Genomic DNA, 13,576 nt, shown 5'->3' with positions numbered 1-13,576 from the left:
TTAGCAACTAGACCACCGTGTGGAGGACTTTTTTGTAAATTCTGCAGGGTATCTCAAGTAGGCAGTTTGAGCATTTAAAGGATTTTAACTTGTTTCAGATCTGATCTCAGCTGGAATGCTACTTAGCTAATTTCCTGGATGTTCACATTTCAAAAACAAGATGTGTATCTCCAAGGAACTGCAGGGCGAATTTAAAGCGTATTGTCTGATATTAGGTCAATAAATCATTGTTATTTATATTAGTGTTTGTTTAATAATTGTTGAAACTATATATTTATAATCTCAGCAGTTTAATTCTGTAGTTGTTCCATGTGTTCCCTCTCTTCCAAATTTAAATATATTTTCCTCCTTTTGAGAGAAGGAAATATGTGTATTGTGAAATTTCAAAAATCTCTGCCTAAGAGATGTGTGGAAGCCAAGGAACAAGTAGAAAAGGGGACAGTTGCAGGCAAAAAGTGTATCTGCCCAATGGGTTCTCCTTGCCCACTGCCTACACAGAGCTAATTTATCAAGACAGGGAAATTGAGGTAAAGAAGGAGTTTAATTCATGCACAGCTGGCTATATGGGAGACAGGGTTTTATTATTACTCAAATAAGTCTCCCTGATAGTTTAGGGATTGAGGTTTGTAAAGATAATTTGGTGGGTAGGAGCCAGTGAGTCCAGAGTGCTGACTGGTTGGGTTGACAATGAAACCTTAGTGATTTGAGCCTGGGTGGCAGCCACAAAACCAGATGAGCCAGTTTACCCTCATGGGTGGTGCCAGCTAATTCATAAGGTGTAGAGTCTGCAAAATATTTCTTAGGTTTTACAACAGTGATGTTCTTCCCATGAGCAATTTGTAGCCTCCAGCTACATGACTGCTAAGCCATAATTTTTAATATTGTGGCTGAATTGTAAGTCCTACAAAGGCAGTCTAGTTTCCAAGCAGGAGGGGGATATGTTTTTGGAAAGGGCCGTTATTATTTTTATTTCAAAGTTAAACTATAAACTCTGTTCCTCCCAAATTTAATTCAGCCTATGCACAGGATGAACAAGGACTTCTTGGAGGTTAGAAACAAGATGGAGTTGGTTAGGTCAGATGTCTTTCACTGTAATAATTTTCTCAGTTATAATTTTTCAATGGCAGTTTCAATCCCTCTCTTTGGGTTTTATAACACCTCATTCTTAAGGTGTGGACTATGAAGATGGGAAAAGGCTGATGATCATTCTGGTTTCTTCCTGCTGAAAGGGGGCAGAGTGGAAATAGAAGTTGATCCCAAGGTGAGAAGAGCAGAAATTCTTTGCAGCTAGCTCTCTGATTATACTCATGCGAGTTGGGCTGGGATTGTAAGACTTTCATGACAAACACGTTAGTATTCTCATCTATAGTTTTAGTACAGAATTTACACAAACAGCATACTATAAGTAAAATAATGAGGCCTAGGATAAGGATTTAAAAATTCCCAGTTTTAAAAGTAAAAATTTGAAAGCATTAGTTTGGGGACACAAATGCCCACAAAGAATTTAGGATTTAGTCAAAATTGCAGAAAATAATAAAAACAGAAGAACAACTAAAAACAGGTGTACTATAATTTTTTTGCAACATAATTTTTCTCTCTCCAGTCCCCATTTTTATTAAAGACAAATCATAGTGGGATGAATTTACTTGCAAAATAAGTTTTAGTATTACTATGCTTGGCCTGATTATTTGCACAAAATAATAACTTAACCATGGATGTATAAGTTTTCTCAAAGAGATGGTAAGCAGTTTCTCTCACACACACATACTCATTTTTCTTTTTTCTTTTTCTTTCTTTTTTTTTTTTTTTACAAGATTTAAAATCTCCCCATAGGTAGTTCAGAGAAAGAAAATTCAAGACAAATCAGAAGCTGTCCATGGGGTAAAAAGAATCAATAATTGGCAAAAGTTACACAAATAATAAACCAAAAAGTATTTGTTTCATAAGCTGGGAATTGAACCCAAGCCACTATTGTGAAGGTGCAGAGCTTTAGCTACTGAGCTAAAACACGGGGTTGTTTACTGCTGCTCTCCCCAGGAGTCTAAGGCAGTCATTTTTGAGCTTGCAAATACTTTTAACAGCTCAAGATAATTTTTAGGACTACCTATGACATGACCTCCAAAATTCCTGTCCTCTGGATGGCAGAGATTAAAAGAAAATATTCCCTACATTATCACAAGATTAAGCTCTCAAGGACATAAAACAAGACAAGAGAGAAACTTATTCTGGTATTGGTTTCAGAGAACCTCATCAAACTTTATAACTGCCCAGACTTCTGGGCTGTCTTGAAAAGGTGTGTATAGGGATCCTAAGCCCATATTCTATCCTGTGATACCAATCTCTCTATTACAGAACAATACAGAAAGACAAATTTATAGAACAAAGCACACAAGATTTTCTACAACCTAAGACCAGTCTCACAAATCCCTTCTTCTATTAACCAAACCTTTGCAGAGGAGGCAAACTGTGATGTTTACCATGACACACACACACACACACACACACACACACACACACACACACACACACACACAGAGGCCAGAGACCTGGCTGGTAAGAAATGTTTATGCTTTTTGATGGCATACCAGGTTTCCAGGTTCCCTTTCTCTGCAGCTTCCAGAAGAATGAACAGTAACCCTGAGTCAGGCGTGTTGAGTTTCTTGTAACAATTGTTTCAAGGTTCAGTGAATGTAACTGGCCAGGATTTCCATCCACGATTTCTTCAGAGATTTCCTCTACATACACAAACACACACAGTGAAAAAGACAAGAAGAATACTTTCCAGACAGAGATTCCAGACAAATCACAAACTAAGAGTGTTCCTTCAAATAAGTCCTCTATTCTCCATCCAATTAGAACAGACATCCAGTCACGGGGCGACAGAGAGACATCCCATGACGGGGCTACAGACAGACACCTGGTGATGGGGCTATAGTTATGGGACTCTCCCCAAGAGTATTTTTTCATTGAAATTGAATCCATGCACATTGGCACCACAGTAGCCCACTGGTAGAGAAGATGCCAGAGACAGCCCCTACTCCAAGAGAACTAGGCGGCCACTTGGCCTGTCTTCTGGATCCATCACCAGAAGAGGGCTACTGAACCACAGGCAGCTGGCCACAAGGGTCATCCCAGATGAGCACCCAAATTTGTAACCATCCAGTAGGTTCTCCTTGCCCACTGCCTAGACAGAGCTGATTTATCAAGACAGAAGAATTGCAATAGAAGAAGGGTTTGATTCACACACAGCTGGCTTTATGAGAGACCAGAGTTCTATTATTACTAAAATCAGTCTCCCTGAGAATTTGGGGATCAAAGCTTGTAAAGATAATTAGATGGGTAGGAGCCAGTAAGTCAAGAGTCATGATTGGTTGGGTTGGAACTGAAATCATAGGGACTGGAAGCCATCCTCCTGAACTAAGGCAATTCCTGGCCGGGGGTCGGGGGGCACGGGGGTGGGGCACAAGACTAGGTGAGCCAGTTTATTAATCTGGTTGGTGCTAGCTAATCTATCAAGTACAGGGTCTGCAAAATATTTCAAGCACTGATCTTAGGTTTTACAATAGTGATGTTATCCCCGGGAGCAATTTGGGTGGGTCAGAAAATCTTGTGGCCTTCAGCTGCATGACCGCTAATCCATAATTTCTAAACTTGTGGCTAATTTGTTAGCCCTGCAAAGGCAGTCTAGTTCTCAAGCAGGAAGGAGGTTTGTTTTTGGAAAGAGCTATTATAATCTTTGTTTCAAAGGATCCTTCCCCAATTAGTTTGACCTATACTCAGGAATGAACAAGGAAGGACAAGTTGAAGGTTAGAAGAGAGATGGAGTTGGTTAGATCAGATCTCTTTCACTGTAATAATTTTCTCAGTTATATTTAATAATTTTGCAATGTGGGCTTCAAAGGCAGAAAGCTTTCAAAGTCTTTTTAAATTTATAAATAGCTCCAAATATCCTTTTGTTTATTTCTTTAATGAAGGCAATGTTTTTCTTTCAGAATTCTTTTAGAAGCTTCTAGGTGATACTGGAAGTAAGCCTCCCATTCAATTTGTCTTGTTCTAAAACAAGATTTTTCTAATTGTGGACACAGATAAATTAACGTAGGTATTTCAAAGGAACCACATTTTAGCCATTGTAATCTGAGGTTATGAGTTGTACATAACCAGTTTCCTAAATATTTGCATTTAGAGATTTTGTAAGTTTTTAACATAAATCCAGCTGGTGTTTATAATGGTTGATTTTTTTCTTAAGCAAGAAAATTTGGTTTTAGAGGCACAATTGCCCATAATTTAGATTTTCTTTCCTGAATGGCCAAAATCCTAGTGGGCCTCATAAATAGCCATATATTATTTTGGCATCTCAAAAAGAATAGTTTTAGATTTGTCAACTGAACCAAGATTCAGATTCTGGGCAGTTGTAAAAAAAAAATATATATATATATATATAAAATTCAGCTATATATATATAAGCTATGTATATATATATAATTCAGCTATATATAATATATATTATATATAATAATTTATATTATATATTATATATTATATATTATATATTGTATATATTATATATATTAATATATTATATATTATATATTGTATATATTATATATATTAAATTATATATTATTATATATTATATATTTATATATAAAATATAATATATATAATATATATTATATATAAATATATAATATATAATAATATATATTATATAATATATATTATATAATATATATTATATATTATATATTTATATATAATATATACAATATATATAATATATACTATTATATATTATTATATATTATATATTATAATATATAATAGTATATATTATATAATGTTATATAATATATATTATATACAATATATAATATATAATATTATATATTATATAATGTTATATAATATATATTATATACAATATATAATATATAATATTATATATTATATATTATATATTGTATATATAATATGTAATATATATTGTATATATCATATATAAATATATAATATATATTGTATATATTATATATGTATATAATTCAGCTATATATATATAATTCAGCTATATATATGAGCTATGTATAGCCTAAGCAAATATATATTTATAATTTAGCTATATATTTAAGCTAAATATATATTTTGTTCCTTAAGCTACAAAAATTTTGCTTTCTCTTATCAAAGAGAAACTCTTTTCTCTTTGACCAAATTTTGAACAAGAGAAAAGCTTGAGAACTCCAACAAGTGAAAACAACAAAACGTTAACCTCAAAGAAAAGTAAAAATCACAGTTCTGCAGTAAGCCAATTCTCTAGAGAATAACAAACAAAATTCCTACCTTAAAGGTTTAAAGTAGAACTTTAATCCCCCTTGAGCATGAAGTCAGGTCATTTGAATATAGTATGGATCTCAAACCAAAAAATCAGGGAGATTTGAAATCCAAGAGGAGACTCAACAGATACCCCTTCCAGCTCATCAAGGTTGGGTGATCAAAGGTTTGTTCATGCTTGCCTGAGATGATGAATTCCTCTTCAAAGGGTTTAACTGTGTAATGCCCTTGTTCTTTGTTCAGAGGCTCAACCTTCTCTTTTTTCTAGCCTGCAAACAGCCCTAAAAGGACTCCAAAGTGAGGTAGAGAGCAATGTAAAAAGAATATTCAAAACTTCCCTTTCCTCTCTACCCCTGGGGAATCAGCTCTGATTCTCTTCCCCTTAAAAGAGGTGCCCCAGGGAGGGGGTGCTATCAGCTTCATAAATACTCCTCTAACCAGTTCAAAAGTTTGAAGCTTTAAAAAAGAACTCAAGCCACTGTTAGATGACCCTCATGCAGTGGCAGATCAGGTCAATTAATTTCTAAGACACTACTTATATACTTGGGCCAAGTTAATGTCCATCCTGGGCATCCTCTTTTCAGGGGAAGAAAGGGGCATGATTCACAGGGCTGCTATGGTAGTTTGGGAATGTGAACACCGCCCCCCCACCCCCCACCGATCAAAACGTTCCTACAGTGGACCAAAAATTCCCTGCCCAAGATCCTCAGTGGGACAATAACGACATAGCTCACTGGGAAAACATGCAAGACCTTAGGGAGATGATAATAAAAGGAATTTGAGAATCAGTACCCCAGACTCAGAATCTGTCCTGGGCATTTAACACACAACAGGGGAAGGATGAAGGGCCTGCAGAACTCTTAAACAGGTTAAAGGGGCAAATGAGAAAATATGCAGGCCTGGATTTAGAAGATCCCCTAGAACAAGGAATGTTAAAGCTTCATTTGTTACTAACAGTTTGCTGGACACTTCCAAGAAATTACAAAAGATAGAGGATTGGAAAGACTATCCTCGAAGTGAACTTCTCAGAGAAGCTCCAAAGGTGTATGTGAGAAGAGATGAAGAAAAGCAAAAACAGAAAGCAAAAATCATGCTATCCACCTGTCAAGAGGGGGCTCCAAATCAATACATATCTAAACAAAGCCCCCAGGGGGCCAAAAACTATAAAGGACCCAAACTTCCATTTAGAGAATCGAAGGCCCCTATTAAAGGATCCGGGACCTCGTTTACAAGACCCTATAAAGAACATGGGGGAGCAAAGCCCAAGAATCCTCAAACAGAGGAAAGACAGGATAGATGTTTTAAGTGTGGAAGAACAGGTCACTTTAAGAGGGAATGTCCTGAATGGGAAAGAGAAAAAGAAGTCCTTCCACTCATGACTTTCAAGGAAGAATAGTGGGGGGTCAGGGGCTCTGTCTCTTTTATCTCAAGTCCCACCAAGAACCCTTGATAAACTTAGAGGTGGGAACCAAATATGAACTCATAACCTTTTTAGTAGATTCAGGAGCAGCCCACTCCTCTGTTTGTTTCCTTCCATCTGATATCAGCTGCTCCTCAGAATTACTTTCTGTCTCAGGGGTAAAGGGAGAAGAATTTGAAGCAAAAATCTTAGAAGAAACAGAAGGGTGGTATAAAAACTGGTCAAATCATATCAAGCTTCTATTAATCCCTGAGTCAGGAATTAACCTATTAGGAAGGGACTCAATGCTAGAACTAGGCATAGGTTTACATGTTGGCCCAGATGGATTCCTCATCTCACTAAACCTACTTACCACTGTGGATGAAAAATACATCCATCCTGATGTCTGCTCAAGAGAAGGAAATCGACGACTTTAAGTCCCTCTGATACACATAAAGCTAAAAACCCCTGGGGAAGTAGTAAGAAGAAAACAATATCCCATTCTCCTAGAAGGCAGAATAGGCTTGAAGCCCATAATTGAAAGTCTTATTCAAGATGGGCTCCTTGAACCCTGCATGTCCCCTTATAAAACCCCAATACCGCCTGTAAAGAAATCAGACGGGTCATACTGACTAGTAGAAGACCTCAGATCTGTCAGCCAAATAGTCCAGATTATTCATCCCATTGTCCCTAACCCTTACACCATCCTCAGCAAAATCCCCTATGACCATCAATGGTTTACAGTAATAGACTAAAAAGGTGCCTTTGGGGCATGTCCCTTGGCCGAGGACAGTCGGGACATATTTGCCTTCAAATGAGAAGATCCTCATTTTGGATGGAAGCAACAGTACCAATGGACACTTTCGCCCCAAGGGTTCACAGATTCCCCTAACCTTTTTGGCCAAATTTTAGAGCAGGTTCTAGAACAACTTCATACCCCAAAACACATATGTCTGCTCCAGTATGTGGATGCTCTTCTCATATCTGGTGAAGATGTAGAGAAAGTAGCTGCTTTCTCTACATACCTTCTTAACCATTTACAAAGTGAAGGATTACAAGTTTCAGAATAAAAACTCCAGTTTGTAGAGCCTGATGTTGAATATTTAGGGCACTTAATAAGTAAAGGTAAATGAAGGATAGTATCCAAATGAGTAGAAGGAATCGTGTCCTTACCTTTGCCTCAAACTAATCAGGAGCTCAGAAAATTTTTAGGATTAGTTGGATATTGCCACTTACAGATTGACTCATATGCTCTAAAAACTAAACTTTTATACCAAAAACTTACCTAGTGGAAACCTGACTATCTTCTGTGGACTTCTGAAGAAATTCATCAACTTGAAGAATTAAAACATATGCTTATATCTGCCCCTGTTCTAGCCTTACCCTCCCTAGAAAAACCATTCCACTCTTGTTAACATGAATAATGGGGTGGCTTTGGGAGTGCTTACCCAGGAACATGGAGGCTGCAGGCAGCCTGTAGCCTTTCTATCAAAGATTTTAGACCCAGTGACATGTGGATGGCCCAAATGCATTCAACCCATTGTGGCAACCATGTTATTGACTAAAGAAAGCAGGAAGTTAACTTTTGGGGGAAAGTTAATGGTAAGCATGCCTCATCAAGTTAGAACTATCTTAAACCAAAAGTCAGGGAGGTGGCTCACTGACTCAAGGATCTTAAAATACATAGCTATTCTATTAGAAAGAGATGATTTAACACTAACCACTGATAACTCACTCAACCGAGCAGGTTTCTTAACAAGGAATCCAAACCTAAAAGAGATCACACATGTTGAGATTTAATTGACTACCAAACAAAATCAGACCAGATTTAGGAGAGACCCCTTTCAAAAGGAGTGGCATTTATTTATAGATTGCTGCTCCCAGGTAATTGAGGGAAAAAGACATAATAGATATTAAATAACAGATGGAGAAGTTTTAGCAGAAATAGAAAGATTGCCTAATAATTGGTCTGCTCAAACTTGTGAACTGTTTGCATTGAGCCAGGCTATAAAATACTTGCAAAACCAGGAAGGGACCATTTATACTGATTCTAAGTATGCCTTTAGGGTAGCTCATACTTTCAGGAAAATTTGAACTGAACGAGGTCTTATTAACAGCAAAGGCCGAGATTTTGTCCACAAAGAGTTAATCACCCAAGTATTAAATAATCTCTAGTTACCAGAAGAGATAGCTATTGTCCATGTCCCAGGACACCAAAAAGGCTTTTCATTTGAAAGTCAGGGAAATAACCTTTCAGATTGGGTAGCCAAACAGGCTGCTATTTCCTCTAAGGTGCTTGTTTTTCACTTAACCCCTTGTCTTCCTCCCCCTACTGCAGTCTCCATTTTCTCTCCCACTGAAAAGGAAAAATTTATAAAATTAGGAGCTAAAGAAAACCCAGAAGGAAAATGGGTATTATCAGATCAAAGAGAAATGTTATCCAAACCCCTCATGAGGGAAGTCTTTTCTCAGCTGCATCAAGGGACCCACTGGGGGCCCCAAGCTATGTGTGACACAGTCCTTAGAGATTATGGGTGTACAGAAATTTATACCCTAGCCTAACAAGTTACAGATAGCTAATATGTAAAAAAAAAAAAAAAAAAACCTAATAAGCAGACCTTAAGAAAATCACCCCTTGAGTGAAGAAATCCAGGACTAAGACCGTTCCAAAGTGTTCAAGTTGATTACACAGAAATGCCTCCAACTGGTCACCTGAAATACCCATTTAGTAATAGTGAATCATCTCACTCACTGGGTAGAAGCTATTCCCTTTACAAAAGTGACTGCTAATAATGTAGTTAAGGCATTAATTGAAAGTATTATATCCAGGTTTGGATTAATAGAAAATGTTGATTCAGATAATGGGACTCATTTCACTGTACATGTTATTAAAAAAGCTAGGCCAAGCATTAGAAATAAAATAGGAATACCATACCCCCTGGCACCCACCTTCATCAAGAAGAGTAGAAAGAATGAACCGGCCTCTGAGGAACCACCTAACCAAATTAGTCCTAGAGACTCGGTTGCCATGGACTAAATGCTTCCCCATTGCCTTGTTAAGAATCTGAACTGCCCCTCAAAAAGATATTCGCTTATCTTCTTATGAAATGCTATATGGGTTACCTTATTTACACTCCACTGCTGGTATTCTTATGTTAGAAACTAAAGATCAATTCCTCAAAAGCTATATACTTGGTCTGTCTTCCACTTCCTCTTTGCTCAGAACTAAAGGCCTTTTAGCACCCCAGACGCCACCCTTGGAGTTCCCAGCACATCAGCACCAGCCTGGGGATCACATCAAAACGGGAAAGAGGGAAAACTCGAACTGGCTAGGGAAGGACCCCATCTAGTGCTCCTGACTACAGAAACCGCTGTCCGCACAGCTGAAAAGGAAGGGACACACCACATGTGAGTGAAAGCAGTGACTTCTACAGCCAGAGAAAAATGAGCCGTCACCCCAGGGCCTACCCCCACCAAATTAACTCTAAAAAGGGCTTAATAATCACTTGTTCATCAATGTGATACAAACTAATCATCCCTTAACCCTCCAGTCTGACATTTGTTCAGTTATCTCATGTGAAGATGAATGAGCTCAAAGGCAGCTATCAAATGTGGGTAAGTGTATATGTCCATACCAGAGTGAGTCAACCAAGTATAAGTATGGAGCCTTAAAAAGTCCCTGCGGTGACTGGACAGATGTTTGGTGGACCACCCAATATGGAGGGTGGACAATCAGGCCCCCTTCTTGTAACAAGTTTCGAGGACTAAAACAGAAGCTCTAACTTATTTGTGGTCCCACCCCACCAAATTGTAAGTCATTACAGTGTAAACCCTTATTGCTAATTATAGATAATCCCCAAAGAATGACCCAAGAACCCTCCATATTCGAATGGTATGGGTTAGGAGCAGATGTTACAGGATGGGACCCCATAGAAATCTTCTATCTGAGGTTAGCTAAACCATCAGCTAAAAAAAAATAAAGAAATCCAGATCCAGAGTCCAGAGAATGTATGGGACCCAACGTTCCTCCCAAACATATCAGGCTCAGCAATCTCCTCCCATCTCCAGAACGACCCAACTAAGGTAGCAGTTGTAGAGGTAAAGGATTTAAGGCAAACTATAGCTCTTGAGATGGGGTACAAAGATGAAGATGCCTGGCTGGAATGGATTAAATATTCCATCTGTACTCTAAACAAAAGCGATTGTTACTTTGTGTGCATGACAGGACAGAGGCCCAAATTGTCCCCTTTCCACTCAGATGGTCCTCCAGCAGGCCAGGCACTAATTTTTTGGTAGTTCTCTTCCAACACCCCACAGCCTGGAGTAATGAATTATCCCAAGCTCTCTCTCTGCTATTCTCCAAAGTCTGGCACCCTGTGGGTCAGCCCCCGAGAGCCATCCAGCTTCCATCTTCTGATGCCAATTTTATCTCGTGTCTCTCAAGACAAGGGGAAAACTTAGCTTTTCTTGGAGACCTAAAGGGATGCAATGAGCTTAAGTCATTCTGAGAGCTAACCAATCAGTCTGTCCTGATCCATCCCCAAGCGGATGTATAGTAGTATTGTGGCAGACCATTACTGGACACTCTGCCAAGTAACTGGAGAGGCACTTGCACTCTCATCCAATTGTCTATCCCTTTCACTCTGGCACTTCATCAACCAAAAAGGATAAAAACAAATAGTCATAAAACAAGAGGTGTCCCTCATGGGTCCTTTGATCCTCATGTTTATATAGATGCCATTGGAGTCCCGAGGGGAGTGCCAGATGAATTTAAGGCCCAAAATCAAATAATTGCAGGGTTTGAGTCCATACTATTCCTGTGGTTAACTCTAAATATAAATGTAAATTCGATAAATTACATCTATTATAATCAGTAATGATTTGTTAACTATATTAAATATGCTATTAAAGGGATAGCTAAACAGTTAGGACCCACCAGCCAAATGGCTTGGGAAAATAGAATAGCATTAGACATGATACTAGCAGAAAAGCGTGGAGGCTGTGTCATGATTGGAACTCAATGCTGTACTTTTATAACTAATAATACGTCTCCCAGTGGAACCATAACAAAAGCATTACAAGGTCTTAACTGCTTTATCCAATGAACTAGCTAAGAATTCAGGAATGAACGATCCTTTCACTTATTTAATGGAAAAATGGTTTGGCAGATGGAAAGAACTTATGTCCTCAATCCTTACTTCTCTTGCCATTATAATAGGTGTGCTTATTCTTGTAGGATGTGGTATCATACCCTGTGCCCCAGGCCTAGTACAAAGGCTTATAGAAACAGTTCTCACAAAAACTTCCCCTACCTCTCCTCCTCTATATTCAAATAAAATCTTGCTTCTAGGTGATCAAGAAGAACAGCAAAGCCAAATCATGTTAGAAAAATTTGAAGAGAAATAGTTATCAATAAAACAAAGGAGGGAATTGCCAGAGATGATGAATTCCTCTTCAAAGGGTTTAATTGTGTAATGTCCTTGTTCTTTGTTCATAGGCTCAACCTTCTTGCACTCTCTTGTTTCTAGCCTGCATACAGCCCTCCCACTCTTGCTGTGTGCTAATATGCTCAGACATGTCTCAGCTTCAGTCTACATTCCTTTCCTTATTTGGAAAAAGTTAGCCTTCTCATTCTCTATAGGCTGTCCTCTTCCCTTTGCTCCATCTCCCCCATCACACACCTACCTTATCTAGAAGGTTTAAGTGTTTAGCCAATCAAGACTAGTTCAGGTTTTGTGGTCTGACTCCACCAAATGGGGAATGACATAGACGCAGGGACTGTGTTAGGAATAAAAACCCTTACTCTCCTTTGTTCGGGGTACTCTTGCAATCATGGCTGATGCAGGCAGCACCCTTCTGCAGAATTAAATTGTCTTGCTGAGAAATCCTTTGTTTCAGTGCTGGTTCTTCTTTGTGGCACTGAGCACTTGTTTTTAACAATGCTGGTACTGAGGCCCTCAATGTACACAAAAATGGGAGATCTCTGGAGGCTTGCTTTAAGATACCTACTTGATTACCAAAATGTCAACCTAAAATAATCAAAAAGGTCAGAGAGTAGTTTAAAGAGAGTTTATTCAAGTACAAAAGTTGAGGATGGCCACCTGGGATCATAGATTCAAATTGCCCTGAATATACATTATAAGTGGGTTTTTAGGAAAAAGAAGAGGCAGTTCTAAGTTGTTCACCAAGAATTTACATTTAAATAGAATAAGCTATTTATTGGCTATCAATTGTATTTTGTATTACAAATTCCTGGAACATGAAGATAGTAGGTGAGGATGTTAGTCAGGAACAAGAATACCTTTAACATTTGCCCCAAGGCGTGTGTGCAGGAGTGTAACTAAAGTCCTATACTCATGTTTCTTTGGGCCTGATACATTTTGCATACCTCAAATAGCTCAGATACCTCTGAGTTCCTTTTTTCTTATGTTTTTGCAAGCATAAACACTCAGTTATATGACAGTTGCTTAGGTATAATAGTTATAACCAGATGTATCATATTCATTTTAAAAAGGTCAAAAAGTAAAATATATAAATACATATCACTATGGTTAGTAATTGCATGAACTCAGCTCTGTAATGGTTGTCATCTGAGATATTGTGATGTATAACCAAAATTTTTTGAGGAGATCAATAAAAAACTGTGATGAGTCACCACTGCATATGTAATGTTATCTTTCATAAATGCAGATATACAGGAAGAACATCTCTTCATTTAGTCAGGAAGTTTCAACATTTTTACATAGGTGTACATTGCTTACACACAAAGTCAATGTTGTGATAATGCACTTCCATGAAGTCAACTTTGGAGAATGTGTAAAATGCATTAGAAATCTCCCAAACTCTTTA

At 37.9% G+C, this 13,576-nt stretch overlaps 1 long non-coding RNA gene across 1 annotated transcript; it reads right to left on the bottom strand.

The window, feature by feature from the left end:
* Window positions 1-2,585: 2,585 nt before the first annotated feature.
* Window positions 2,586-5,408, bottom strand: LOC107985095 (uncharacterized). Its single transcript, XR_001738167.1, has 2 exons — window positions 5,338-5,408; window positions 2,586-2,735 (listed from the first exon to the last, which is right to left on the bottom strand). It is a non-coding gene; the product is annotated as an uncharacterized LOC107985095 (long non-coding RNA).
* Window positions 5,409-13,576: the final 8,168 nt, after the last annotated feature.

Source organism: Homo sapiens, chromosome 1 (assembly GCF_000001405.40).
Source record: "Homo sapiens chromosome 1, GRCh38.p14 Primary Assembly".
Classification (NCBI taxonomy): Eukaryota; Metazoa; Chordata; class Mammalia; order Primates; family Hominidae; genus Homo; species Homo sapiens.
The sequence above is the reverse complement of the archived record's forward strand: the minus strand, read 5'-3'. Positions and strand labels throughout refer to the sequence as shown.